We start from the raw sequence: 27,742 nt of genomic DNA, 5'->3' as shown, positions 1-27,742 counted from the left end.
GCGAATTTTCCCTCTTTGTTACTCTATCATATTGGCTTATTACGGAAAAAGAAAACCAGCTAAGTGAATTTATTCTTTCACAGCCCTCCTGTGAGGAGGCTTACTGGGTTCACAGTAGAGTGAGGCTTCAGGACAGTGTCTCCCAAGGGCTTTCTTTTATTTTGCGGGGTCTGATCTGGCTCCAAAATTCTCCAAGTCTTCAAACTTTGTGTTATTAGGTGTCTACTCAGTCAAGAATGAATTTCAGAAGTTGAGTATATAAGAAAATGCGACATGCTGCCTTTGCGGTGGTTAAACAAGTGTTTGTCATAATCGTGAATAGTTGGGGAGACTTTTCATTTTAGAACTCTACTCAGTCAATAGGTGCATTATGAAAACTGGATACATTGCATCACTGTGAAGGGCTTCAGTCTGCGGTTTGCAAAAGCAGAATAAATTTTCTTGGGGTTGTACCGTTATGTACACACACACACACACACACACACACACACACACACACTCACAGGCTCATTGGCAGACAGGGCCACAACTCGCGGCTCTAGGGAAGGCCACAGACCTCAGCTGTACGAGCGGAACCTGGACTAGAGGAACTTTCCTCAGGACTCAGGGCACACAGCCCCTCGGCCACTACTGTCTGCGAGCCCGAGGCGCAGGGGAGCGCCAGCGGCTGCAGGTACGCTGCGCACCCGCACTGGGGCCTGGGCGGTGCAGCGGCGGCGGGAGGGTCCTGGGAACCGCAGCCGCCGAGGCCAGTGTGTGAGCCGGCCGGCCGCGGCAAGCCGCATCCCCCGGCCGCCCCTCGCAGCCCCTTGCTCCCCGGCAGCCGCCGCCGCCCTCAGGCAGCCCAGCCGGGCGCTCGCGCCAGGACTTCCCCGCCGCCCGCCTCGGCCCGGAACATGGCTGCGCGCCCTGCTGCCACCCTCGCCTGGTCGCTACTGCTCCTCTCCTCAGCCCTGCTCCGCGAAGGCTGCCGAGCGCGCTTCGTCGCCGAGCGGGACTCGGAGGACGACGGAGAGGAGCCGGTGGTTTTCCCGGAGTCGCCCCTGCAGAGCCCCACGGTGCTCGTGGCGGTCCTCGCCCGCAACGCGGCGCACACGCTGCCGCACTTCCTCGGCTGCCTGGAGCGGCTGGACTACCCCAAGAGCAGGATGGCCATCTGGTGAGCGCGCACGGGCCCCGGGCCGCCGCGGCGGGACGCGGGGGCGGCCTGCCCAGCGCGGACAGCGCCCGGAGCAGCAGCTGCAGGGCGAGGGAGCCGCTGGAGGGGCGGGGGGGCACGCGGAAAATCTGGCGCACACACCCCCTCGCTGCCCGCGCCGGTGGCTGGCGGATCGGGCGGTCAGGCTGCGGAGGGACGCGCGGGTCAGTGTGCGCAGAGGGTGCTGATGGGGAGAACCGGACCGCTGGAGCTCTGGAGGGTAGCCTGCGAATTGGGGCTTTGTCCCACAAGGGGCATGGGGGACACCCCTCAAGGGGACTTTCAGTTCCCTCGCTTTTAACTCTCGAGGTTTCCTCTTTCCCCACCTCATACTGCTAGCCCTGACGTGAGGGGATAGGGTGCCTGTCGCCGTATTCCCATGTAGATACGACAGATGGAACGTAACTGCGGTTGGCCAGGGGCTCCGCAGTGGCTGGGGCGCCGCAGTGCGCTGCTCTGACTTTCCGGTGCCGGGCTCCTGCTCCAGGCTGGAAATGTGCTCCTAGCTCTCCTAGGGGGACCTGGACCTAGGGGTGGAGATTGGGCGGAGCCCGCGGAGTGTGCCCAACCATGGCACCACCGTGGGCCTGGTCTCCTGCGAGCGCTCCGGGCTGTCCCTGCCGGTGCATCGGGGTTCCACGTCCCGGGGAGAGACGAAGATGCCCTGGGAAAGATAAACAGCCAAGTTTTGTCCCCGGAGGAAAGAAGCTTGGACCTGGTCCCTGTGTCTGCTGCGGGGAGGGCCAGGGGATAAGTGCGGGTGCCTGCCCGCCCCACCTTGTAGAACTTGGTCGTCTCGCACCTTTTATAAACGCGAGGATCCGAGGGCGAGAAGTTAGTTGGTGGCCAGGTTAGCCGCTGAGTGGGTTGTGGAGGACAAGGAGGTGGATGCTGGCCAGGGGAGATGTGCTGTCAGGTAGGTACTCGGACAAGAAGACTCTGGCCCCCTGAGGAAGACAGAGCCCAGGTCACTCTGGAGCAATTTCTGTCTTGTGTTGATAAAGGGAGCTGTTCTCAGGCGAGACACATCCTTAAAGCAGCGGTTGGGCAAAGAGAGGAAGAGGAGTAAAAGCAGCAGCTAGAATTGGCAGCCTCAGAGTACCTGGTGGGAGAGGTGCAAAGGTGCGAAAGCAAACATGTGATATAGTACAGCTCTGTGCTGTACACTGCTTTACTATATACCCTGCCATACGTGACCGCCTGGCGGAGAAGGGCATATTATGTGGAAAGAGAGCACTGGGACAGCCAGGCTTTAAACCAGAAGGAAGGATTTTTTTTTAACCACTTCGGTACCAAAAGAAATTCACACATATCAGTTACCTTAGTTGTTGTGTTTTTTTTAAGAGATATTTTAAAATATGGTTTTGATCTTTATGCATGATTTAGTTTTTTAAAACGTTACAGTATTTACCATAAGAAGTTGGTGAGTGGTGAAGCAGGTGTCAGGCACATGCTTTGCTACCTGATTTAGAGACATTACCTCTTTTTATCATACAGTAAACTTTTAAGAGGATGCTATGATGTTTATTTTGCAAAGAAAGAGACAGACTTGCATCAGTTCAGTAAGTCACTTAAAGTGACAGAATTAATAAATGGTGAAACTGGAATTTGAACCCAAGGCCACCCTAAAAAGGCAGGAAACATGATATAAACAAAATTTACATAAGCCTATAATCTACAAATTAGGAGACTTGAGTTGTTTATTACTAGTTTGATATGTGATTTGGGGCTGGTTGCTTGGGATCCATAGGCATCAGTTGCCTCATCAATAAAACGAGGGAGTTGGAATAAATGATTTCAAAAATTCTTTATGGCTCTTGAATTCCATAGATTTTGCAATATAATTAGGATCAACCAGCATCAATGTACATCCTAAGTTCCCTGTAAGTTCCAGATGGTATGGACACTGGTGTCTTACTTAGATGAGAGAATTCCAGTTCTGCATAGACCTTTGAAATCTGTTGTCTTTTATGTCCAGCATTGGCAGGTTAAGCAAGAAGTGCAAGGCCATGCTTGCGTCAGTCATTGAAGACTCTTCTTTGAAAAATTTTGGTTCTGTCTTTAAAACATTGTGTAATTCTTTAGGTAACAATAATACAAATCCCAGTTTCTAAATAGTTCTTTTCAGCTCACAAAGGAGCTGTAAAGAACCTTTGGAAATAACTTCCATGCACTGTTAACTCATTTGATTCTTACTGCCATTCTGTGAAGAAATAAAATTATCTCTATTTCCCAGAAGAAGAAATGTGTTTAAAGTGATTGACTTACTCAAAATTACATTTATTTATAAATTCCACACATAATAATAAGAGCTCGTGGTTCTTCTAAGAACTTCACATTCATTTTCTGGTTTAAGCTTCAAAATGACCCTATCAGATATGCACTGTTATTATACCACTTTACAGGTGAGAGAACTGAGGTACAGAGAGGCTGTACAAGCATATTCTTCTAATGCATTTTTTAAAATAAGAACCAGCCAGATCAGGGCTGAAAAAAAGTGTATTTAGATATGTGTGTTTTTTTACAGATAAATATGATTCATTTTACTGGGCAGTGTAAGGTGATCTGAATGGCTTTTAAAGGGTTTGGGGAAGAACCAAATGATTTATAAATCAGATTGGGGCAGTTGTATGGATATGGATGTCTTCTTGATGAGTGGACACTTAGTTTGAACTCAGTTTTGAAGGAAGAGTAAAAATCAACTAAAACCTGGGAAAGAAGGATGGCTCTAGAAAAAGGGATCAGCAAGGCAAAAAACAAGCAAAAAAAAAAAAAAAGATAATAGGGCATCAACCAGAGTTTTCTCTCAGGGAGTTCAAGTGGGTGGCAGGTCTAATGACTGCAAGTCTCCAAACAGATTGTATTGTACCATAGAATCTCTTTGGAAGTGCTGACTTCTGGTCTGGCCCTAGGGGAATATTTGGCTGGGAAGCTTATGAGATATAACACTCTGATGGGAGGTGGTACCTCAGTTTAGGATGTTACAGATTTGAGGTGCTTCTACCGATTGCTTGCCTCTAGTTTCTCATTCCCAAGCTCTATGCAACATTCCAAGATGCCAAACTGATTAGTATCCATTCTGCAAAGCCAGCACATGCTGATGTCAAAAATGGCTGTGAGCTACCCAGAACTTTGTAAAATAGAACCGCAGTGAATACAGAGCCACACAGAATTCAGCTTCCTCTGAATCTGACCACAATAACTCACTCTGTGCAGACTCACTCTTCTCATTCATCCACTCACAGGCTAGAGGAGCATCTGATTTCTGTCCCAGATGGGTCAGTGAGAGACCTGGCTTATTGATCACATTCAGACTCCCCTGTTATGTGATAATTTTTCTCACTTTAAGTTCTGGACCAGATCTGCACTGCACATACAGATGAAATGAGTATCATCAAATTGACCTGGAAGATACTGTTGTTGAAGAATGTCTGCAGTTATCTCAGTCAGCATCAAGTTTATTCAGATTAGTCTGAACAAAGGAAAATTTATATTTTAGAGATACTTTGTATAAGCAAAAAGGAAAGCTTTTTACATTTACCTGTCTGATCTCAAAATCCACCAAGCTAATTGTTTTCCTTCAAATATCACAATCCTGTGATAAGGACCTAAGGAAGATATCTATTTCATGTGTCCTAAAACCTGCACTAAGTTTTAGGGAATTGGGAATATGCTGAGATGAAGGGAACTGTGAGGCATTGTGACAAGTGGTAGTGTACTTCAGTGGGTTCTCCTTAATTCAGTGGAACCATGAGCAAGTAGCCTTAGCAACAGAGGGAAGGCTGACCTCATCCTCCTTAAACCTATGATTAGGGAGAGTGGGGCCAAGTACCATGACAGTGAAAACCGAAGCATGGCGCAGGGAAAAACATTTGCCCCAAATGAAACATTAAGTTTTTCTTTTGGAGAGCCTGCTGTTGCTTGTGGGAAGACAGTTGGGATTCACAGAGTCTGTGCAGGCACAAGGCAGTAACTGCTATGTAATTACAGAAAGATTTGGGCATTTTGTTTGGCAGAGTTTTGAAAAGTAACATACTAAATTGGGAACCGCTTTATGGATTTTTAAATAAAGAGAGGAGCTTCTGTTGACATAAACATAAACAGTGATGAGCTGGGGGATGGTCCTAACATTTTGCATACTACTTTATTTCTGCATTGTTTGGGGATTATCTTGAATTTATCTCCACATTTTAATGTCCAATCAGTAGCATTTTCATAATTGTTTAACTAGAAATACTAATATACTTTGTGTTTATAAACTGTTCCAAACTAGTATCAGTGACATTTTTCAGCACCAGTGGTAAGAATGATGTCATATTTTATCATTACACTCTTGATATTAAATGTTGTATGTTATCCCTACAGATAGAAGTTTCGGTTTATGGCTGAAAAAGCAGATGATGCCTTAGGCCCCTTCTGTCTGTTAGTCTGTTTTCCTCACCTTTTTCCTCCTTTCCTCATTTTCCCAATCTGGTAGTTTAGCGTGGAGGGCATCAACCAGAGTTGGAGGAAGAAATATACAAGCTTAGGGTCAGATAGACTAGAGCATAAATCTTCTGTGTGATTGTGGGCACATCAGTAAACCTCTAAGACATAGCTGCCTTATCTTCAAATAACTAATAGTAACACCTGTCTCAAAGAGTTATTGTTACAAGTAAATGATATAAGGTATGCACAGTGTCTTTTACATAAATGCTACTAACAATGATAGTTGCTATTTCTTTTGAATCTTTTCCTTTTTCTCCTATCTCCTTTACCTTTACCTTTCAAAATCAAGATTTTAAAAAATCTTCAAATGGAAATTTGTTTAGTTTCTTCTTTCCAACAACAACAAAAAATATTAGTATAGGAAACTAACATTTATCTGGATGCAGTGGCTCATGCCTGTAATCCTAGCACTTTGGGGGGCCGAGGTGGGCAGATTTCTTAAGCCAAGGAGTTCAAGACCAGCCTGGGCAACATGGTGAAACTCCATCTCTACAAGAAATGTAAAAATCATCCAGGCACGATGGCATGCACCTATAGTCCCAGCTACTTGGGAGACTGTGGGTGGATTGCTTGAACCTAGGAGGTGGAGGTTGCAGCAAGCCGAGATTGAGCCACTGTGCTTCTTCCTGGGCAACACAGCGAGACCCTGTCTCAAAAGAAAAGAAAAAGGAAAAGGTAAGGGAAGGGAAAAATAAAGAACTAAGGAAGGAAGGAAGGAAGGAAGGAAGGAAGGAAGGAAGGAAGGAAGGATACATTCATGGAGGCACTGTTCTAGACACTTTGGTATCAAAACTGATTTACTCCAGACAACAACCCTAGGTGGGAGATGCCATTACATTCTACTCTATCACTTTACACAGAAGGAAACCGAGGCACAGAGAATATAAATAACTTGCCTGAGGTCACTAGGCTAATGCATGGTGGAGCCAGGATGTGACCCAGGCAGCTAATGTTGCAGACCGAGTACAGATGGTCTGCTTAAGATTGTGAAAAGACCAATTAGTTCTAGTTTTTGCTTCTGTCGGTTGACCCAACTTGGGAAGATAAGAACGCTAGTGTTTCTTTCAAATAAGAATTGTCATTTCCACTTGAATGATGCAAGGGTCTTAGTGGTTCTCTTCCGCTGTCTTGATAATTTCATCACTTAGTTCAGGCACTTTTTAGTGAACTCTAATCTGTTTTGGTATATTTCATAGGGACAGATTATGACTAAAATGTGGGTTGTACATAAATATGCAGGTCACTTGCTGTGATCATAGCTACATAACAGTAGAAAGAAATTTCTCAAGTATTATTAGTGGCAAATGATTAAGGTGGCACTAATCATACACGTATTGGCTACATTTTCAGTTCATATTGGTAAAATAGAGATTCCATTTTTCAGGCTTTTTAATCAGTAGTCTTAGATTTGGTTGTCCCCTAAATTCAGCTTCATTCCAAATGATTGAAGAAATTATCAATCCTCCCTGCAACCTCCAATTTCAAAATATGATTGGAGCTCAGAATATTTCCTCTGGGTAAAAACTGAAGTGACTAATAAATGACACCAATCCTGTTGTTCCAGTTATGACAGCTTAACTACAGAATTAGTAAGAATGCCTAAGTTGCCCTGGTTTTATTATATTGAGTTCCATGATGAGGCATCTAAAGCACAGGGCAGTTAAGAGATTCCCATGGTGATTATGGAATGAGATAACTGATTTCTAGATTTTTAATCCTGTGTAGCTGTTTTAATGCTGATTATTTTATAATGAATATCCTTCTTGGTTTAAAGGAGCATGGGGAGTATTTTAAGCAGAGTTTGGTTTTCTCAGATCTGTTTTTAGCTCCTTTATCCAAGTGATTAGGCCAGGGAGTTTCTTTGTGACTCCAAATACATAAGCATGTGCTTCTTAGGTTCCTTTTGCTTGTCTGTTTCTGGTGGTCATAGGAATGAACAATGAATGCCTTGTAACTGAGAAGGCTGCTGGTTGTCTCTTGGTTCTTTTTCCAACACTTAAACGTGCACTTGGGTCATATTGCTGTGTGGCACCGTCTCCAAGTCTATGGCACAGTATAGTAGGACCATTATAAGGCTTATATAGGACTATAGTAGGACAATAATAAGGCTTGTTTCTGCATATTTCTTGACATAGCATAACAACATACAGTAAAGTCTGAAAGAAAATCATTAGCCTATGGTATGGCCACTACACCTATTCCCCAGTTACCATATCATGAAGAACTTTTACCATATGTGTTTAAATTATAGCTATTATTCATCAGGAATTACAAAACGTATGTATTCTATGTTTTGACATTTTTATTTCAAAAGAGTGACTTGTTCATTTAATTGCATTTAATTGATATGTTGTTAGCATATCAAAAATTGTTAGTTTTTAAAAATTTGAATCCCTTAGGGTCTTTATGGATTTTTAATAGTACTTCAGTTATTTTAAGAATTTGCTCTTCTGACTTTTTTAAATGGGAAAGTAATAAAAAAAGTATGATTGGGAATATCACAAAAAGTAAATCTCCCATCTACTCTATACCACCTGCCAGTGACCAATATTAACACTTTCTTTCATATTTTTCTAGAAACTTTCTATACATATACATATATCCTTTTCATTTTAACCCAAATATGAGTGTTTTACATATCCAGTTCTGGATAAGTGTGATATTTTAAAATCCATCTCTCTATCCCATGTTCTTTAAACACTGCCAGCCTATCTACAGCCATGCCCTGGGTGGCACAATAAAAGCCAGCTTCATATAACACCTGTTCCAGGCAGGTACTCTGAAGGCCTCTCTGATAACACCCGTCCTGCTCTCTTGTCCTTGTCTCTCTGGCCTCTAGAAGGTCTGGCCCTAATAAAAAAAACTTTTTGATGAGGTGTAATATTTATCCAAAAGTTCATATATCATAAATGTATAACTTGGTAACTTTTCACAGACAAAACATGCCATGTAACCAGCACCTGACCTTGCCAGGCCTGGATTCATACACAGCAACTATTGTTGGAGCTGAGTAGCTGCTGTCCCCTGGATTTTGTCCAGGCAGCCCAGTCCCCATCAGACCCACACTGTGTGCACTTGCAGTTAGTCCCCGCTGTCTTTCTTTGACTTGACTTGCCTGACCCATGTTGACATTTGGGTGGTGAGCTTTGCTCCCACCTCAGGCTGCTGAAGGAACCCTAGGACCCAAGCAGTAACTACTTTGGGGAACCAGCAGGCTTGGCAAGCTGCCAGCGAGTGACCTAGTGGTAAAAGGATCAGGATTGTATTACTTTTCCCTTAGCTCTCTACTCCTCTGGTAGGAAAGCTGTGCATTAATGTTCATAAAAATAAAAATCTCATTATAGGTAATAATTGAAAAGTCAGGTAGAATATAAATAGAGTGGCTGTAATTAATTTGCTGGAACTTTCTGTAGTTCAGATCCGTGAAAATGCAGCATTTGTGGTAGGTGGCATTAGCCAAGTCTCTTGCATGAATTAAACCTCAGATTTGGCTGCAGGGCGTTTCTTTTCCTCTCTAGGAGCACCATACAGAAATCCTTTCAGAGTTAGACTTTGAATAATAGCTCCATGACATCTTGCTAGGGCTGACTTTGTAACGTGTTTCACTTAATTGAAGCAACAATTATTATTTTAGTTGTTTGTCAAATTCAGCAAGCTAAGGCCTGTCCCCTGACTTGTTGGTTTAACTGATAAGATTTTGTTCCTCTGCAAACATAATGCAAAATAATCTCCTTCCCTCCAGTGTTTTCTGATTAATGTTTGAAGACATCTTAGAAGATATGTCTTTCAGAAACACAAATAATAACATAAATAATGATCTTAGAATAGTGATCTTGGGCTGTATACCCCCAAGAGTATGGTAGAAGATGAGTCTGGGACAAGCTGCTGAGCTGAAGCATTTTCATGAGTACCTGATTTCATTCACACATTGGCTTTATTGGAATAGTTCATTACCTTCCAGGTTGAATCACTTCAAGACCTATTGAGGGATACATCAGGCTGCAGAGAGGAGGTTCCTTACATAGAGCTTTCCCCATTTGGACTGCCAAGCCCAAAGTGCATACAATTGCTGCCAAGAGGGAAGTAGGACTGTTTCTTTCCAGTCCCTTTTCTTTCTGAGAGTGATTGTATATGTTTTGGAGATGGGGAGGGCAGTGGTGAAGGCAAGTATCTCATTCTCACAAGAGAGAGACATAACTCTAAGACAGGAGAGTCTGTGGAGGTACATTGATTGGTGTTCTCCCTGAAAGCCATATTAAGTGAGAAACTGCTGCATTTTAGAGTCTTGGGAAAGGTAGAATTTTCTAGAGACTAACAGTAGAACTTAAATTCTTGGGATAGTTGTGAAAAGTGTGGTTGTAGACATTTGGGGCCATAGCATTCCCGACACGGAGTCCCTTGCTGGACTAATAGACTGTTTTTTAGTTTCTTGGTTGCCAGCCAGCCCCATAATCCTGTCTCAGCACCACACACCACAATGATTATGGTTTACACCCGCCAAGATAGTGGAAAGTTGCTGCCAAGTGGAATCAGGATTTTTCATGTCATCACTGCACCATTGAACAGTAAGCTTATATGCAGCTTCCACGCCACTGCTTTCCTTGTGCTAGAAACAGGTTGGGCGGGAGAGTATTCAGACAGTCAGACCATCTCTTGTGTTGCAAATGGATTTTGTGGAATTGGCATGTAAGGCTTGAAACAGCCAGCATACGAAAATATTTTAGAAAAGTACAAGCCTCTTCTCTGCCTTTCCTCAATCTTGTTAGATTTTAATAAAATTTATTGGGTACGTTGGTTTCCATTGTAAGCTTTTTATTTAGCAAGACAAACTATGGATTTCTAAAACAATGGATTTTTAAAATGTTACATCCTTTTATTTATTCCACCATCACTGATTGTCTATGTGGATAAATCCAGGTAATCATGTTGAAATTAGTAATTGAGGTGGCCTAAAAGTGACTTGTCCCCATTGGTCTAGTTCATTGTCCATGAGTGGACATGGTCCTTACCATTGTTCTGCCAACCCTTTAGTGTAAGGCTGCTGGATTCAACTAGTGTTTCCCAAATACAGGTTCAGAGGCCAGTTGCATCACAATACCTGGAGCATTTGTTAGATACATGGATTTCTGGGGCCCATTTCAGTCACATTCATCAGATGGTCCACAGCGGGGTCCTAGGAATTGGTGTGTTAAGCATGTACATAAGTGATTTGGATGCACTTCTTCTTGGTTTGGGAACTGCAGAAGATGAGCTCCTAGAAGGCTATGTATGCACTTAAAGTACAGATCATGGGATTTTCAGAGTTTGGAAAGTTGGCATACTCTGGAATATTCTAAACTTCAGATTCCAGATGCTTAAGCCATCAAAAAGACCAAGGGGTTTTCTTATTAAGAGAAGTAGTAATGTACAGGATTACATAGGAGAAACCCAGCCAGGCATGCATCATTTGTGTTTTTTTGTTATTATTATTAAGTCAAGCACATATGTTCCATCTCCATCTAATAGTGACTATTTTTTTAAAAAGATTTTTTAAAAGACAATGCCCCAAATGTTTTACCCACTGTATGAAGCTCCTTGCACTGGGGCTCAGTATAAAACGACACTCCCTCACATTCTTTCTTCAGTGTATCTTACACAATGAGTTCATTAAGCCTTTAGTATTGCAGAAGAAAAAATACCTACTAATGAACATCTTAGAGTACAGGGAAATCAAACCAGTGCATTTCTTTAAACTAAGTAGAATTCATTTGAGCCACTTCAGTCCTTATATACCCTAATCTTGGTTTCTTTGTTTCTTGTATTTAATTTTCTTAGATTTTTCCCGTTGGCATACCATTAAAAATTCCTCCCCTCATTTGTGACAAATGTAAACAGTCTACTAAATTAGCCTGTTTTTAGTAGCTGGCAGTTCAGCCTTAATTACATGATATTACAAAGTCCCTAACCCTGGTGTCTTCACTAGCTATGAACTCAAAATATGGCTTTTTAGAAATTCACACAGTTCTGTTCTGCTATACAGAGGATTGTTCTGAGTTTGTTGCTGCTGCACAACAAATATTTTTTAAGAAGTTGATATAGCAGCATTATTATAACTGCATGTACAGCAGCCTCCTGTGGGGAAGATTGCAACTCAGTTGTTAAGTCTTATATGGTTCCATACCCTATTTTCTTGTGCTCTTTTGGTGACAGGGCAAAAATTCTACAATAAAGTTCTTAAGTTTATGCATCCACTTTATTTTTGTATCTTTTATCCTTCTCAAAAATGTGAACTGCATACCACAGCTTAGCACATCCCACCAAGAAAATAACAATCACCTGGAGATGAAGTGAGGCTGGTGGCAGTGGGGTCTCCAGGACAGTTTCCTCTAGCCAAAAGCAGCGTCTTTCATTTTTCCCTAGTGTGCAAATACGCTATCTGTGTTGTCCTGTGAAAGGTCTTGGAAGCATTGCTCATGCTAGGCTGCTTTGAGCAAGTCACTTAGTTTCTCCTGTAACATAAGGGAAATGTGCTAAAATTGTGCTTTTCAAATGCAGCCACTTATTGGAATCATTTGATGATCCAGGGCAATTGACGTATTTTGAAAACTTCCCAAAGGGTGGTAATATGCAGTCTTGCTTAAAAATCTCTAGATGAGATGTTCTCTGAGTCCTTTCCTGACCTAACACTTTCCTCTTCATGGGGATAACCATATCTGAAGAATGTTCACATAACTGCATAATCGATGCTTCCTGGACCCTCAGCCCAACTTTAGATCTCTGGGGGATGGCTTTAAAAAATCCTTTTCTAGGAAGCTCGTGGTATTTTATCCTGTTTTATACTGTGCGAAAGGTGTTTGCTAAGAGTGTTGTCTCCTTGGGAAGGCACGTGCTTGATGATGACTGAACTCCCAAGGAAAGTGGCAACATGAGAGCTAGCCTTGCAATGGCATATATTAGACCTTCTTATGAAGGAGCTGTGTGCACCAGGTAGAGAAGCAGCAGCTGCCCAGGAGGTCCTTCCTTTGGCACACAGATGGTTGCCTCTTGACTAAGGGAGCTGCATATATCAAGACTTCTGAGCACATCTAGCCAGGCTCTGGCCAGCTCAGGATTCCTTCCTACAGTATGTGTTTTGGTGTGTTGCCCAGCTTTGCTTTTAGGTTTCCTATTTCATACTGGTCTAGGGCCTCTAATCCTCTCTGGGTATTGAATTTCTGATGTTACTTCTGATGGCTTTGGAGATTAGCTTCTTTTGTTTCCAGATTTGCATAAACAGTGCTGCCTTTGTCCCCTGGTCTTGACCCAGCTTCAAAGCTTTGACGGGCATCAAAGACACACTGGATCCTCATTTCTTAGGCATCAGATGGCAGCAATGCCAGCAGGTGACTGAAGGTTATAGCCCCACTTTTGGGCCAGTTTTCTGTCTCTCAGTCAGAAAAGATTAGGTTACATTCTGCCAAGTCCTCTGACAATGGTTCTGAATCTTAACAGCTTTCATAACGCCTGTGCGAATACCATTGAACTAAAGGGGAACTGCTGGTGTTTGTCTAAAGTGGAAAGGGCAGTAACTCCCTAATATTTGCTGAACTCTCCTTGCCCTATGAGAGGCAGATTATTAAGTGTCCCTCTGGAAAGCATGGAACCTCCAAGCCCATTGGCCAGACTTTGCTACTGATAATCTTCTTGTGAGGCCCAAGACCTCATTTTCCCATGCATCTTATCAAAATAACAGCAGTAGTAGAACTATCAGTTGTCTATGCATGGATTGTCAGTATGTTGGATATGTAGAAGCCAGTTTTGATAACAGGTCAGCTTGGTCCAATCATCCAACAAACCCTTGAGCTGTATCTCTGTCTCTGTGTTGCCTGATACTTGTATGTTTAGAGAACGGAGCCTAATTTTTATCTCTGCTCAGAAAAAAAAAAAAAAAAAAGCTGAGGCTGGGTGTGGTGGCTCACGCCTGTAAACCCAGAACTTTGGGAGGCCAAGGCAGGCAGAACACCAAGGTCAAGAGTTTGAGACCAATCTGACCAACATGGTGAAACCCCATCTCTACTAAAATACAAAAATTAGCCGGGTGTGGTGATGGGCACCTGTAATCTCAGCTACTCGGGAGGCTGAGGCAGGAGAATCACTTGAACCCAGGAGATGAAGGTTGCAGTGAGCCGAGATCATGCCACTGCACTCCAGCCTGGGCGACAGAGTAACACTCTGTCAAAAAAAAAAAAGAAAAAGAAAAAGAAAAAAGCTGAAAGGTATTCAGCAACATTCCATACAGAGCATTCCAGTACCAGTAATATCTGATTTCTTAACTGCTCTTTTGCATTGTCTATGTCATGTACCACTGTATTTTCAAATTTTCTTGAATTCTTTGCCTTGCCTTGCCCTCCTACCTGTACAATGAGGGTTGCATAGGCTAATCTTTCAAGACTTTTCTAGCCACCACATGCTATGTATTTGAAGTTCCACCACTAATGCCATGAAAAATGAAACAACTCACGCTATTGCCACATTATTTAAGATGGCATTTTGAGCTTTTTTCCTTTATTTTTACTTAGATTTGACTTCTTCTGTAGTTTTGACTTATCCATGTCTCAAATCCTTGGTGATTAGACTGATGATTCATATCTATATAAAAATTGTAAAAACTTATTTGCCCTCTAACCTGAGTGAAAATGCTATCTTTTTTCATGAACAACAGAAGCAAAAAAAGGCTGTGATGAGAAGAAAAAAAGCCCAGAGAATTATGTCAGAACTATGTCAGAGGAGATAGTTCCAGGTCTGAAAACTAGGAAATCTATTGCTGTTGACTCCACTAGGAGTGGAATATTTGCAGCATAAGTGTACGTGTTGCAGGTATTTGGTTAGATTTAATTTTATCATATATGCAAAATAAGTAAGTGCAAGTCTTCCCTAGAATGCTTCCGGCACCGCCCCCCCCCCCCACCTCACGCACTTTTGGAAAAAGCAAAAACAGCAGTTTGACATTTGCCATTGTGATGGGAAACGATATGTGTGTTTGTTATTTGCAAAAGTTACTGGTGTTTTTTGCTCAGTCTGCTGTGTAAGGAAAGCAGCCTGCATTTGCACTTTGGAGGTTAGAAGAACCTGCCAGTTGGAATTCAAGTCTCACCAAGCTAGTGGATTATCACACTGAAGTGATAGCTCCTCCTATGGAAAGGCTTTACTTCACAGTAGTGTCATTATATAGAAATACTAAACATTGGCAATGCCTTCAGAGGCCAAAAGCATGAGTGCCATGAAAGGTCCTTGTAACATGAAGCTGGTTGGGGCTACCTCCCTCCTTGCTGACACTTTAGGAGCAAAACAAAAGTCAAAGGAAGTAGAGATATGGGAGACTGAAAATCACTTGTCTCCTGAGTTTGAGTTTATATGCTACAGAAAAGTCAAAATCAAGAAGGCAAAAACTTTCTTTTTCAAGGAGTCTTCCCCTTAGTAACTCTTTGACTTACACTAGGGGTTTAGTTTCTAAAATCAAACGCTTCCCTTTCCAAGCTATAACTAATAAATAAAAAAGCACATCCTTCTGCTAGATCAGAATTATCTCGAGAAAATACTGCTCTTTGGCTGACTCCCTCATCCCTCTCCAGTCTTGGCTATTCAGCTGATACTCTCCAGCTGTAGGCCAGCTGCCTTGTTTCCCTGAAATGTGGTGCCAGCTGTTTTGAGTTTCTTAAGGAAGGTTTCTCTTGGGTGCATTGGTAACACTAGGGCTCAAGCATGAAAGCATAAAATGCCCTAATGAGTTTTCACTTTGATATCATAGTCAATGTGATTTAATGGACTGAGGGTGAAACGATTTCTGCCCTGAGGCAAAACAGATTTTGAAGCTTTTCTCTCTCTTCTTTGTAATAGAGTATCTGAGATTTAGTGTTGCTTCCCCTAAGCTATATATCAGTTGTCAAGTATTAGATAACAAATTGCCTTTGTGTTCTATAGCTTTGAGCCAGAAAGCAACAGTTTCCCTTATTATTTTGATGTCAAAGGAGCAGAAGAACCATACTCTGTGTTTTACCTTCTGAAATAATTTCTCCTGAATTGATTTTTTGGAGTGAATTTAGAGTTCTCATTTTTATTTAAATTTCACTCCTACTTGTACTAACATCGTTTGTTTGGCTCCATTTTCTCCCTTCTAATTATTTTCTTTCTGTGTTTCCAAACAGGCATTTTTCTAGGTAAATCTTAAGGCTTCTCACATTGGGGATCAAGTTTCCAACACATGAACTTTGGAGGACACATTCAAGCCAGAGGAGTCACTAAAAAGAAATTAATACTTTCTTCAGGCTCCTTAGTTAATTTATTGATGGATTGATCTATTTATTTATTCACGTAATTAGTTTTAGTCATTGTAGTAGAAATTCAACTGTCTTATCTGAAATAATTGGGAGAAGGTGTTCTTCCTTTCACCTTGTACAGAATGATTATGACTTAAAAAATCCAGACAGATAACTCTTGTCTTCAGCAACTTTACAAATATATTTGCCTTCCTTAGTTTTTGAGCCCTAAGACGATAAGGGTTACACATGGCTACAGCCTGCCCCAAGTTTACTCTGGCTGCCAGAATAATACAGTATCCTTTCCAGACCCCTGAACAATCAACTGTTAACAAGTGAGATCATTTTTGGTAGAAGAATTGCATATGTCATTGTCTCAAAAGAGACATGGGCTGCAAATCCTGTCTGGGGACTTGCTTCCAAATACTTGTTCAAACTCCTCCCAGCTTTGTCTGCACTTGGCATTAATCCCACTTTGACATTCAAAGAGCTTGAGTGCTGCACATTCTCAACTAAATAGATAGTAAAACAAAACCAGTAACTTGTTATTAAATACATAGTGAAGGGGGCAGTAGTCATTTTATTATTCTTTTCATTTATTCTGTCACTGTCTTAGTCTGTTTTGTGCTGCTATAATAGAATACCACAGACTGGGTAATAATTTATAATGAACAGAATTCACTGGCTCATGGTTCTGGAGGCTGGGAGTCCAAAATTGAGGGGCTGGCATCTGGCGACGGCCTTTTTGCTACATCATTCTATGGTGGTAGGGCAAGAAAGGGTGAGAGAGAACAAGAGAGGCCAAACTTGTCCTTTTATAAGGAACTCGCTCTCATGATAACAAACCCCCTCATTCAATAACAATAGTAGTCCACTCATGAGGGCAGAGCTCAAGTCCCACTTACCTCTTGAATGTCCCACCTCCCAACGTTACCACATTGGGGATCAAGTTTCCAACACATGAACTTTGGGGGACACATTCAAACCATATAAGTCACTAAAAAGAAATTCATACTTTCTTCAAATGTCTTAGAAAAGTAGAAAGCTTTAATGAGTTTTTTCAAGTCCTTTAAATGTTGAAGTAGTGTATAAAAATACAAGGTTTTGGAACCTCAAAGGCTTGCTTTTTAAAAACAGTGAACTGTAACAGCACCAACCTCTCCCGATGGACCCAGTGATCCTTGCCTCCTGGTATTCACTCCTATAGTCTCGTGCCATGCTGAATCATGTGACTTGACAGGATAGGCAGAAGTGAGATCCTGTGACTTCTCAGGCCAGATTATAAACGGCACTTCAGTTTCTGCTATGGATTGCTTGCTCTGGGGAATGCCAGCCCCCATGCCATGAGAACATCCAAACAGTCCCAAGCAGAGGCCCACATAGAGAGAAACTAAGGCTTGCAACCAACAGCCAGCACTGCATCTAAGTACAACCTCATGAGAGACTCCAAGCAAGAATGTCATAAGGGCTTGACCCATACAATCTAAGAACATAATAAATGTTACTGTTTGAGATGCTGGTGGTACAGATGTAGACCCTGCTCTCACAGAGTTTATGGTGCACTGGGAAAGACAGATGATACACAAATAAATGAACAAAAAAGATGATTTCAAAAGATGTGTTAAGGAGAAAGTAAACCAGAATAATGGGGTAGAGCTCTGATAGGAGAGTACGCTGTATATAATGTGTTCAGAGAAAGGCTTTTTGAGAAGGTGCTATTTGAGCCCCAAGGCCTGAATGATGAGAAAGAGCCATCTTGTCAAGATGTTGAGGAGGGGAGGAATGGAGAAAGGGGAAAACAACAAAGAAGGTTTGTATGGCTGAGTCTTTTTGGACTTAGGTCAGATTTGCCTTCAGAATAGCATGCGATTCTTTGAGCTTCTTGAGAGAAATATGGTCAGTTTTCAATATCATCAACAACAGTATATAGTATTTTTTCATTTTAATTCTTACCAATCCATTTAACTATATTATTCAACATCTACCAGTTAGTGGAATGAAATATTATTTGCTCTGTTAACTCTTGTTTATTATATTAGCAAATCTGCTACCTTAACATCCTCTGCATCCTTATTTCACAGTGGAATATTTTCAACTTTTTCTTGGCTCTTCTGTCATCAATGGCAGTGTCATTACTAATAGGATTCGGGGGCAGGGGCAGTATATATGAAAAAATGCTTTATTTGAAAATAACAAAATTAGACAAAACATACCACTTAGACAATAAATGAAGACTTTCTACACTGCCATCCAATAAGTCTAAAAACCAGGCGAGTGCTGGACACCAATAGATCTGCATTTATCTCTTTTCTTACTTACAGCACAGGTTAGGAGTTTTGGAAGGACCTGCTAAATTTACAGCATGCATCACTGCGTTTTAGGTGAATTTTTTGCTGTTCCCTTATGCTTCTCCTTGTTTCTTTAGGCATGGAGCAAACATATGCAGAAATATATAGATCAGTGTTTTGGATCCTGCTCTGCATCTTCCCACAGAAATCATTTGAATACTGTCCACTTTTGATGTTTCTGTTTCCTTGGTTGACGTCACAGCACATCTCATCTTGAATAAAAAGAGCGCTTCTCAGATTGGCACTGGGCTAAACAGAGCAATTTGTTTTGGGTTTGCTTCAGTTTGTACTTAAGTTCTGAGTCTCAACAATGGAGTGTTATTCCTCTGAAAAGCTCTTCTATCATTTTTGATTCTTTGAGGCTTTGATTTCTGCATCTCCTAAAATAGGAATGAGGCCACCAAACATAAAAATGTGTATTAAGAACAATCTGCTTTAGTTGAATATTTATTTTCTATTTAATCTAGTTCATCAGTTAACATAACAGAGAACTTTGTCAGGCCCAAGTATAGGTAAAGGGTACTCATTACTGATTTAAAATGAGAAACCCCGTAAATCAATATTTGAGCTATGTTTCGTGCATAAACCCATTAGCTCTGTCCTGAGGAAAAGTCTCAATGCGTAATTATTTCAAACCAGTGAGCTCATAGCTGTCTGCTTGGCACAGCTCAGCCTGGTTTCTTCATGAAAAATGAGATAACTGCCAGGATTTTTTCTGTCTCCTACCTGAGCCCTCACAAGTACTGCTTTTCACCTCAGTGGACTTCGATTCCTTAAGTCAATGGTATTTATTGTGCCTCCCATAGAGTACAACCAAGAAGTGAGTTGCTATTGAGAAGCCAAAAATCGGAATAGAAAGCAATGATTTGTTTCTTTTTGAAAGGAGAGGCACATTTTTAGGGACCATGAGAAAGGTCCTCAGCCGTTCAAATTCAAGTGTTGAAACTCAAGATGTTTGCAAGTCTAATCTCTAATAAAACACGAATTATAATCTGGTTTGCTTTAGGCAGATGTATGGTCCCATGATGAACCCCATTTGATTTTTAAAACGCTTCCCCTCCTTCCCTGCATTTGGCATTTTTACTGCTTGCTACTGGCAGGAAATATTTCTTCCTTCTCAGTTTATTCTGATCCCTGCTGTCTGGAGAATCTTGCAGCATACTAATTTATGACTTTGAAAGATTGTATATTCATTTATGTAGAGGCTTCTGTGTCAAATTTGACTCTAAAATACCTCATGCTTTCTCACTTAGATATTTTGTGCAGTATTACCTATTACTTAATAAATATTTAGATTTTCAAGGTAAAAAAAGAATTTGTATAGTCTGAAAAAAGTTTATAGTGTTCCTAGATTTTATTAGCAATGAAAAAATTTCCTATGAATAAAATTATTGTTAAGATTTGTTTTCCATTTTGTTTACTTTGCTTCTGAAGATGTTTTGAAACCTTGATTTCTGGGAATGGAATTCTTTATGTGCTTCCTAGGAAAGGAAATATAACACACCAGTTAGAACAATTAATACTAGAAAAGAAACATTCTTCTTCCTCCTAAAATACTATAGGGCAACAAATCACCTACCCCACCCCAACCCCATTTCAAATATAGTGAGATGGGAAGAGGTGGTATTCCATCTGTACAAGTTAAATCTCTCAGATATAATTTTTTTTTTCTTTTTGAAACAGGGCCTCACTGTGCTGCCCAGGCTGAAGTGCAGTGGCATGATCGTAGCCCACTGCAGCCTCGAGCTTTTGGTCAGATATAATTTTTAAAAAGTAGTTTTGTTGTTTTCAAATATATATAGTTATTTAGGGTAATAATAAAATAGGAAATTAGCTTTAACTAACATGACAATTGTGTCTGCTTAATGTCTTTATTGTTTGTTGGTATATGAATTATTCTTCTAACCAATTTGTTATGTAGTATCCTGCAATTTATAACATCTTTTGCTTAATAATGAAAGCTAATATTTATTAAACATTTACTGTTTACCAAGCATTATGATAATGGTTCCCATGAATTAACTCATTCCGAGCTCACAACAGCCCTGTGAAACACATAGTAGTAGTAGTAGCCTCATCTCACTAAGGGGAAACTGAAGTTCAGACAAATTAAGATTTTTCCGGAGTGCCATGCTTAGGACAAAACAGTGACCTGCCCAGGCCCAGAAGTGGTTAACTGTGATGCTAATGAAGCTTGCACTTTAGTCTGCCTGCTCCAGGGGCCCATCACAATGTATTCACATTTGTTTTGGTAAAATCTGTGAAAAGAAATATTTTATAAGCAATTGGCTAAGACCACTTAGCCAACTTCCCCTCTATCATACTTCTTGTTTTGGGTGGCACTGGAGTGGCCCTGGACGTATCTGTGATCTGGTTGAGGGGAAGTTAACTTGGGGATGCATTTAGTTTGCAGTCGGTGGAATAATGCGGCTTATAGTTACTTCCATATGTAGGTTATTACTCTTGTGGTTCACTTGACACGTGGGAAAGGACCAAAGGCTCTGCCGTCTGGCTGGTATCAAAAGTAATTGAGGGCCGGAGGAGAAACAACAATTGAAACTTGTCTCGGGAAAATACTTCCAATCATCAGACATGAAAAATTTCAAGTGAATGACTTAATTCTCTCTATGCCTTGTCAAAACAAAACTGCCAGAAACATACTTGATAATGAAGTGAATACAATTTAATATAATTATAAGTACATCAGATGCATTTCTTTTTTGCTATAAAAATCACATGAATTAGAAGATATCAGGATTGCTGTGTTTGAAGAGCACAAACTTGTGGCAGTACTATGAACAGAGAGTATGTCCAAGTACATAACATTTTATACATTACAGCACCTTAGGTTAGACTGTGTTCTAACAGATCAAATGCATGTAGCCTGACAAAGTTTGGCGGTTCCATTTGAAATGGCACATAACACTGTCATCAACACAGTGAAATGGCTTGAAACTTTTCTAAACTGTTAGTAAAACCAAGTTTCAATCAACTTTGGTTGAGGGAAGACTAAATTATATTGCTTTTCTTTCTATACAAAAAGATATAGATATTTGCTATATGAAGAGGTTGAGAGTATATAAACAACAATATAAGGAAGTAAATTAACAGCAATATGTCAGGCAGTTAACTAATAAAATATTTTTCTGAGTTTTGAATGCTTGTGGCATTACTCAGCTTTTAAAAATATTATAATTTCTTTTCTCATTTTGAACAAATAGTTACTTTATATATTTTTATATAAAAAATTCACTTTTGAAATTTAATTTTACATTTTGAATTTTGTATCCTTCTTCTTAAAATGGGCTCCCCCAGGTTATATAAGCTTCCAGCCCCACAAAAGCTAGATTCAATCCTGCCTAGGTCTTTAGCTTTAAAACACAGCACCTGCCTGCTGCCCCACCCAATGCCACTTGAGTGGTAGAAATATTCCTTTTGAAAACTTGTTTTTACTTTTTATTACCTCACACACCAGCTGTTCTTTTAAAGTTCTATGTTAGTGCTTTCTGAATTAATGAAGTTTAGCCTTAACACTGAAATCTCGCTGCTGATAAAATTAGCATGCCTAAATTTGTAGTTATACATAGTATTTTAACACCCACATTTATTTCCCACAATAAAATGCTTTGCAAACATTCCATATGGCTGCTTTTGCCGCATTGACTTAGACAATTCTTAGCATGAGAAGTCCCACTCCAGATTTGCTATATAATTTTTACTGAATCTTTGGTGTAATTCAGTGAATGATAAAAATTTTAGTGACTGATAATTTATAATCAAAGTGAAAAATTCTAAATCATTTTGACTCTGAGATAAATTTAATAACTAAGGGTTATAGTGCATGAAAAACTCATTCTGTCACATTTTATTAACTGTGTATGGCCTCAGAAACCACTATGTGTCTATAAATAAAGCCACCCATGACAGTTTGATGCCTGGAGTAAGAATTCATTTTTATAACATCACCTTTGACATTTTAACTTCTTCAGCATATTCACTAAAGCTAATAGTGACTGTCAATAAATTACAGTGAATTAGAATATCTAATATTTAATAGTTTGCCACATCTATGGCATCTACAGCTGGGACTTAGGGACTCCTTATAGTTTCACGTAGATAGCTTTTTACTCAATTTACCAAATTCTCTACACCACAAGGTGTTCTGTGAACTCCCTGGCTTGTCATCTGGCACTAAAGCATCACCTCTCCTTCACATCAGCCCCACAGTTCCTTCTAGAGCATCTTCCCTAACTTTCAACAGAAGAACATCATGGCAGAGGGCCAGGGATCTGTTGCGTGGGATCTCAGAACTTAGAATACTCCATAGGTACCTACACAGGGAGAGTGAGCACAACAGTCTACATTTCACCAAATTAGAAGATGTGCAAACATGCGGAGACATTCTTTCATTTATTCATTCACTACAGATATCAAGAATGTCTCTAATGGCGGGAATTGGACTCTCAGAGTGAGTAAAATACTGCATTTCTCCCCTTGGGAAGCCCAGCATCACAAAAGAAGCACAGTGGGTTGAGGAACAAGGCACTGTTCTGAGAGCCTGGGGGCAATGAGATGAGGTTGGCAACGTTGGTTAGAGCACCTGGTCATGGTAGCCAGACCTAAAAGCAACAGGATAGATGTGTATTTACCTTACATTCACATAGAATATCCCTCTATAACAAACCTTCAGCTCTCATTCTGCCATGTTCCCTACAATCTGATCTGATCTTCTTTAAGACCCTCTTGATACTTTACTTGCTACCAAAGTTTCCTTTGGTCTTCAGTTCCTTCTAGCGTGGACCAATTGCAAATATCTGAGATTCCCTTCCTCTGGCATCTTTTTTTTTTTACCCACTAGAAAAAGCCCAATCCCAGATCCATCCTCCTGCAGTCTCTAGTTCTGAGGACTGTTCATCCCCCAGCCCCATGTCTGTGTTAATTTTGTCACACAGGGTGAATCCCTCCACCCTCAAGTGGGCCCTCAGCTGCCCACTGATCTTTTTGTTTCCCTTGCAAAGCTTGCTATTTACTCTTCTAGATCTACTTACTTCATCATTTCCATGGACATTTTCAGTAGATCACCTTGCTTCTGAATTCATCAATAAAACTAAAGCTAGTGGATGAAAATTATTTCAATTTTGTGACCTCTTCTACTCCTGTTCTTCTGGAAGAGAGATTTCATCCTGTCTAAAGTAAACTTCTCATTTTTACTCTCAATCTCATCCTTTTCCTTGACCCATCCTCCCAGTAGCCTTTGCCTCATCTTCTTCCCTTGTTTAGAATTAATTCAACAGATATTTATTTATTACTTGTTGATATTATACCTCAGGATACAACAGAGAATGAGGCACAGTGCCAGCCTTCAAGGACTTAGAGTCAAACTTCTTGAGAGAATGGTCGACATTTGCCAGTTTAGCATTCTCACTTGCATTCATTTCTCATCTGGTTTCCATAATCAAGTTTCCACACTCACCACTCCACTGAAAGTTTCCTTGCCAAGATCACCATTTAATGAGTAATCCCCCTCATTAAATCCAGTGTCACTTTGACTTCACTTTCTCTTCAGTCCCCTTTCTGCTGCATTCAATCATGTGGACCAGTTTCCTTTTTTATAACAGTGCCTTCGCTCAGATCCATGGTTCCACCTTCCTAATTTTCTTCTTACCTTGCTGTCTTCCCTTTGGCTTACTCATTTCTCAATACATGTTTCTTAAAAGTGGTGTTCCCCTGGGATCTAGATTTGGCTTTCTTTTCGTTGGAAAACCTCACCTCAAGTAGTCTGGTCCGTTCCTGTAGCTTCAGTTACCAAATGTATGCCTATGACTCCCAACTCTCTATTCTCTCCCTGATGGTGTCTCTCCAGCTCAAGACCTAGAGATCTCCTGACATTTTCATGTGAATGGTCCAGAGATTCCTCTAACTTATATCTCAGACTGATCTCTCCACTTTCTCATTCCTTTTCTCAACCAGCTCTGTCTCCTATATTCCCACCGCCATGCAAGCATTTGCCCAAAACAGAAACATGGACCTCTCCCCCATCATCCATATCAAGTTATTAATCAGTTTTTGTCAGTTGTTCCTACTTAATCCTCTAGATTTTTTTCACTTTTTCCTATCTGTTCTGCCACTTCCTTAGTTCAAGTCACCGCCATCTCCCATTTCCTAATGGATTGCTCTGCCCCTCTGTTTTACCCCCCCTCCCACCAATTCATCCATTATACACACTGGAAGCTACATGACCTTTCTTTAGGTAAAACTTGGCCATATTACTCCCAAACCTTCAAAGACCTTTGAGGGTAAAATCCGTATACCTTGGAATGGCATGCAAGGCCCTTCAAGATACAAGGGTTCTGCCAGTTTCTCCCGCCCCGTCCTTCCCCATTCTTCCCTCATGCTGCAATCATGTTGAACTGCCTTCCACAGGGCCACAACTCTCTCTGGCCTCTGGACCTTTATAAATGCTCTTTTTTAGATTCAGACTACCTCTCCACACCACTTGCCTATTTTTTAAGGTTTGTAACAGACCACACCTTCTTTGAGTAGATTCTTGCAGGTATTGAAATCTGGGCTGAGACCTATTGTGTGCTTTACCGAATCTCCCACAATGCTGTTTTGTTTGTTTGTTTGTTTTGAGATGGAGTCTGACTCTGTCGCCCAGGCTGGAGTGCAGTGGCACAGTCTTGGCTCGCTGCAATCTCTGTCTACCAGGTTCAAGTAATTCTCCTGCGTCAGCCTCCTGAGTAGCTGGGATTACAGTCGTGCACCACCACACCCAGCTAATTTTTGTATTTTTAGTACAGATGAGGTTTCACCATGGTGGCCAAGCTGGTCTTGAACTCCTGACCTCAAATGATCCACCCGCCTTGGCCTCCCAAAGTGCTGAGATTACAGGCGTGAGCCACCGCACCTGGCCTCCCTTAACACTCTTATAACTATTCTTAATTATGTTTACTTTTTTGGATCTGCCCCCTAGGCTCAGCTTCTTGAGGGCCCGCCCTCTTCTTTTTGAATCTCCAGGTTCTAGCACTGAGGTGCCTTATAGGAAGCTGCTCGGTAAATATTTGGGAAAAGGTAAACAAGTTATTGTAATAGATTTTCACATCAATAGCCACTTTATTTATTTGCATTTTATGATAAAACTGAGATCCTCAAAGACAACTGATTGTTTCCTCCTCCAAGTTCCTCAATGGCCTATCTGGTTACAAAGTTAGGATCAAAACAGAGATCACATGCTTTTCTCAAGAACCAGAAAAATTGGGATTCTCTTCTGTGGGAACCATTTTCTTATTTTGCTTTTTTGATGATAGGAATAGACTGCCTTTGAAATGCACAGTGAGGATGAATTTTATGTTTATTAGAATTTCCATGTACACACTGAAAATGTACAGTTTCTTGATTATACTGCTAAGTTCAGTAAAAACAAAGGTTCATTGTTTCCAAGAGTCATCCATACTTATTATGAAAATAGATTCAATCTTTTTTCTCTCTCTTTTAAGAAAAAGAATTTGGAAATGTGATCCAGCATCATGTTTTCATTTTGTTTAAAAGAAAACATATTTTTCCTCTAATAATCCTAGATGCTGTGGGAATAACACACACATGGTTGGCTTTAGATTTGGTGACTATCAAAATCTCTGAATAAATAGTTTCTTTTCTGTGTTTGTATTACTAATACAATATTTTACAGTGTTTTTAAATACTTAGAGAGACATTTGCACAAAAAGGCTTATAAGATTAGTGGATTTGAAAAATCATTTTTACTCATCATCCTAAAGAAGGAGGCAGCAGAAATGCAGGGTTGTGGACCATGATGGTCTAGATGCATGAGAGATTGTGGGAAAACTCTATTCTCTTTTATTTGATATCCTATTTTTCTTTATTCTTTTTTGGGGAAAAGGAGAAATGTCATCCTCAACAGGCATGAGAAAGGACAAAGAAAAATCATTCCTTTTCTGCCCTTTTCCTTCCCTTATTTTCTTATAGTTTTCTTGGAGATTACACAATTATGAATTATAATAAAATATTCTATGGTAAAAGCCAGTGCGAGTGCAGAGAATGTGTAAGATTTTCATTTCCAGCCAAACCCTGCTGGTCAGTTACATTTATTATTGGTTTATGTCACAGTCTGGGAACATATTAACCAACTGCCCAGATTGACACCCACTTACACCTCACATGTAGGTTTTACATATAGGGTTTACACCATCTAAAAGTAGGCAGCCGAGAGAGCTGCCTACTGACTATAACTACGCAATGACATTGAGAGCAAAGGAAGAGTTTGAGATGGTGACCCCTTGAATTACTAAGAGAATGCTCCCTGACCACACGTTTAAATAGTGAAGAAGCATAACAGCCGATTGGAACAAGGAAGCCGGGTTTGCACCTACTGTCTGGCTCCTTAAATCAGAGTAGTGAGGATGGAGGTTGTCTGGGTTTCCTATGTAGCAGATGGCAGTAAACAAGGAAAAGGTTTTCAGCAGACAGATTGGAAGGTAACTGGAGGTTGGAATTACTCTGGAGTGAGTTGGAAAGAAAAAGGAGGTTGTGCATAGTAATCTCTCTCTGGATAATTTATCTTTCCCAGTTAAGTTGTCAGACAACTATGTTGGAGAATGGCCCTGAAATGAAAGCTTTACTGGTCCCAATTCCAGCTTTCATTAAATCGGCTCCCAAAGCAAACCACGGGGCTGGCACCTGCGAGCTAGCATTCACTTTACAGCTGTGAACAGTGTCTTAACGTGCTTGACTCTAGGTAGGGAAATGTACTAAGGAGAAAGAGGAAATGTGGATTTTATTCTGACAAGGCTTTGAATTGTTTCTTGAAAAAGCTGAAATAGCCCTTGGATCTCCATTAGCCTCTTTGGTAGATTGCTGCCACTGGTAATTATATGTCAAGTAATGGCCTCCTCCCCATTCAGAGTCCCTCACTGAGCCACAGCATGATGCCACTGAGAATTAAAAACAGGCCTTCCTCCCCACTGGCCTGTTGTATTTGCTTCCTCTGGCTGGAGGGCACTATTGGCTTCCTACTCTATGGCTGTCATCCATCTCCCAGGAGCCGATGATCCTTTATTTCAGCAGCCCAAAATCTGGACAGGAGATTCCATTGATGCCGTTGTGAAAGGTGGCCAGTACTTTTGGAGCAAAGGCTGACTGAGTTCAAAGAAACCTTGAAGTTCTTTCCCCCAGATGTTGATCAAAAGCAGGGTATTTGGTGGCCCTCAGTTTGGATCTGTAGTTACTCTGTCATATTTCCTTTCTGTCCTCACAGTAGCCACTGTTCTTTGGTCATGGTTCTAGGAGATTGTCCTTCACTCAGGCCTGTGTACCTCATTCTTTGAGAGGACAGAAGGGAAGACTGGTAGGAGGAAAGGTGGGGAAAAAAATCTCATCATTTCTAGAAAACATATTATTTGCCTCTAAATCACCATGAT

General features: G+C 40.9%; 1 protein-coding gene across 3 annotated transcripts in view, besides 3 other annotated features; it reads left to right on the top strand.

Moving 5' to 3' along the window:
• The first annotated feature begins 525 nt into the window (after positions 1-525).
• COLGALT2 (collagen beta(1-O)galactosyltransferase 2) overlaps positions 526-27,742 on the top strand; it is a 108,067-nt gene continuing 80,850 nt past the window's right edge. For 2 of the 3 annotated variants that reach the window (NM_001303420.2, NM_015101.4), the window contains exon 1: positions 526-1,159. In NM_001303420.2, the coding sequence (NP_001290349.1) occupies positions 897-1,159 (263 nt within the window). In that variant the 5' untranslated portion in view covers positions 526-896. The remainder of the gene's footprint in view (positions 1,160-27,742) is intronic. The other variant, NM_001303421.2, reaches the window with a different exon arrangement.
• Positions 714-803: a silencer, noted in NCBI's record as "silent region_1636". NCBI's record gives its function as "represses an Ori minimal core promoter by ATAC-STARR-seq in GM12878 lymphoblastoid cells {active_cell/tissue: GM12878}" and the evidence as "EXISTENCE:reporter gene assay evidence [ECO:0000049][PMID:35858748]".
• Positions 6,545-6,839: a silencer, noted in NCBI's record as "tiled region #12313; K562 Repressive DNase matched - State 5:Enh". NCBI's record gives its function as "represses a minimal TATA promoter and a strong SV40 promoter by Sharpr-MPRA in K562 cells {active_cell/tissue: K562}" and the evidence as "EXISTENCE:reporter gene assay evidence [ECO:0000049][PMID:27701403]".
• Positions 12,654-13,393: an enhancer, noted in NCBI's record as "OCT4-NANOG-H3K4me1 hESC enhancer chr1:183993995-183994734 (GRCh37/hg19 assembly coordinates)". NCBI's record gives its function as "activates a minimal SCP1, AML or CMV promoter by ChIP-STARR-seq in naive and primed H9 embryonic stem cells {active_cell/tissue: H9 hESC(naive and primed)}" and the evidence as "EXISTENCE:reporter gene assay evidence [ECO:0000049][PMID:30033119]".

The sequence above is a fragment of the Homo sapiens genome, chromosome 1, assembly GCF_000001405.40.
Source record: "Homo sapiens chromosome 1, GRCh38.p14 Primary Assembly".
NCBI lineage: Eukaryota > Metazoa > Chordata > Mammalia > Primates > Hominidae > Homo > Homo sapiens.
The sequence above is the reverse complement of the archived record's forward strand: the minus strand, read 5'-3'. Positions and strand labels throughout refer to the sequence as shown.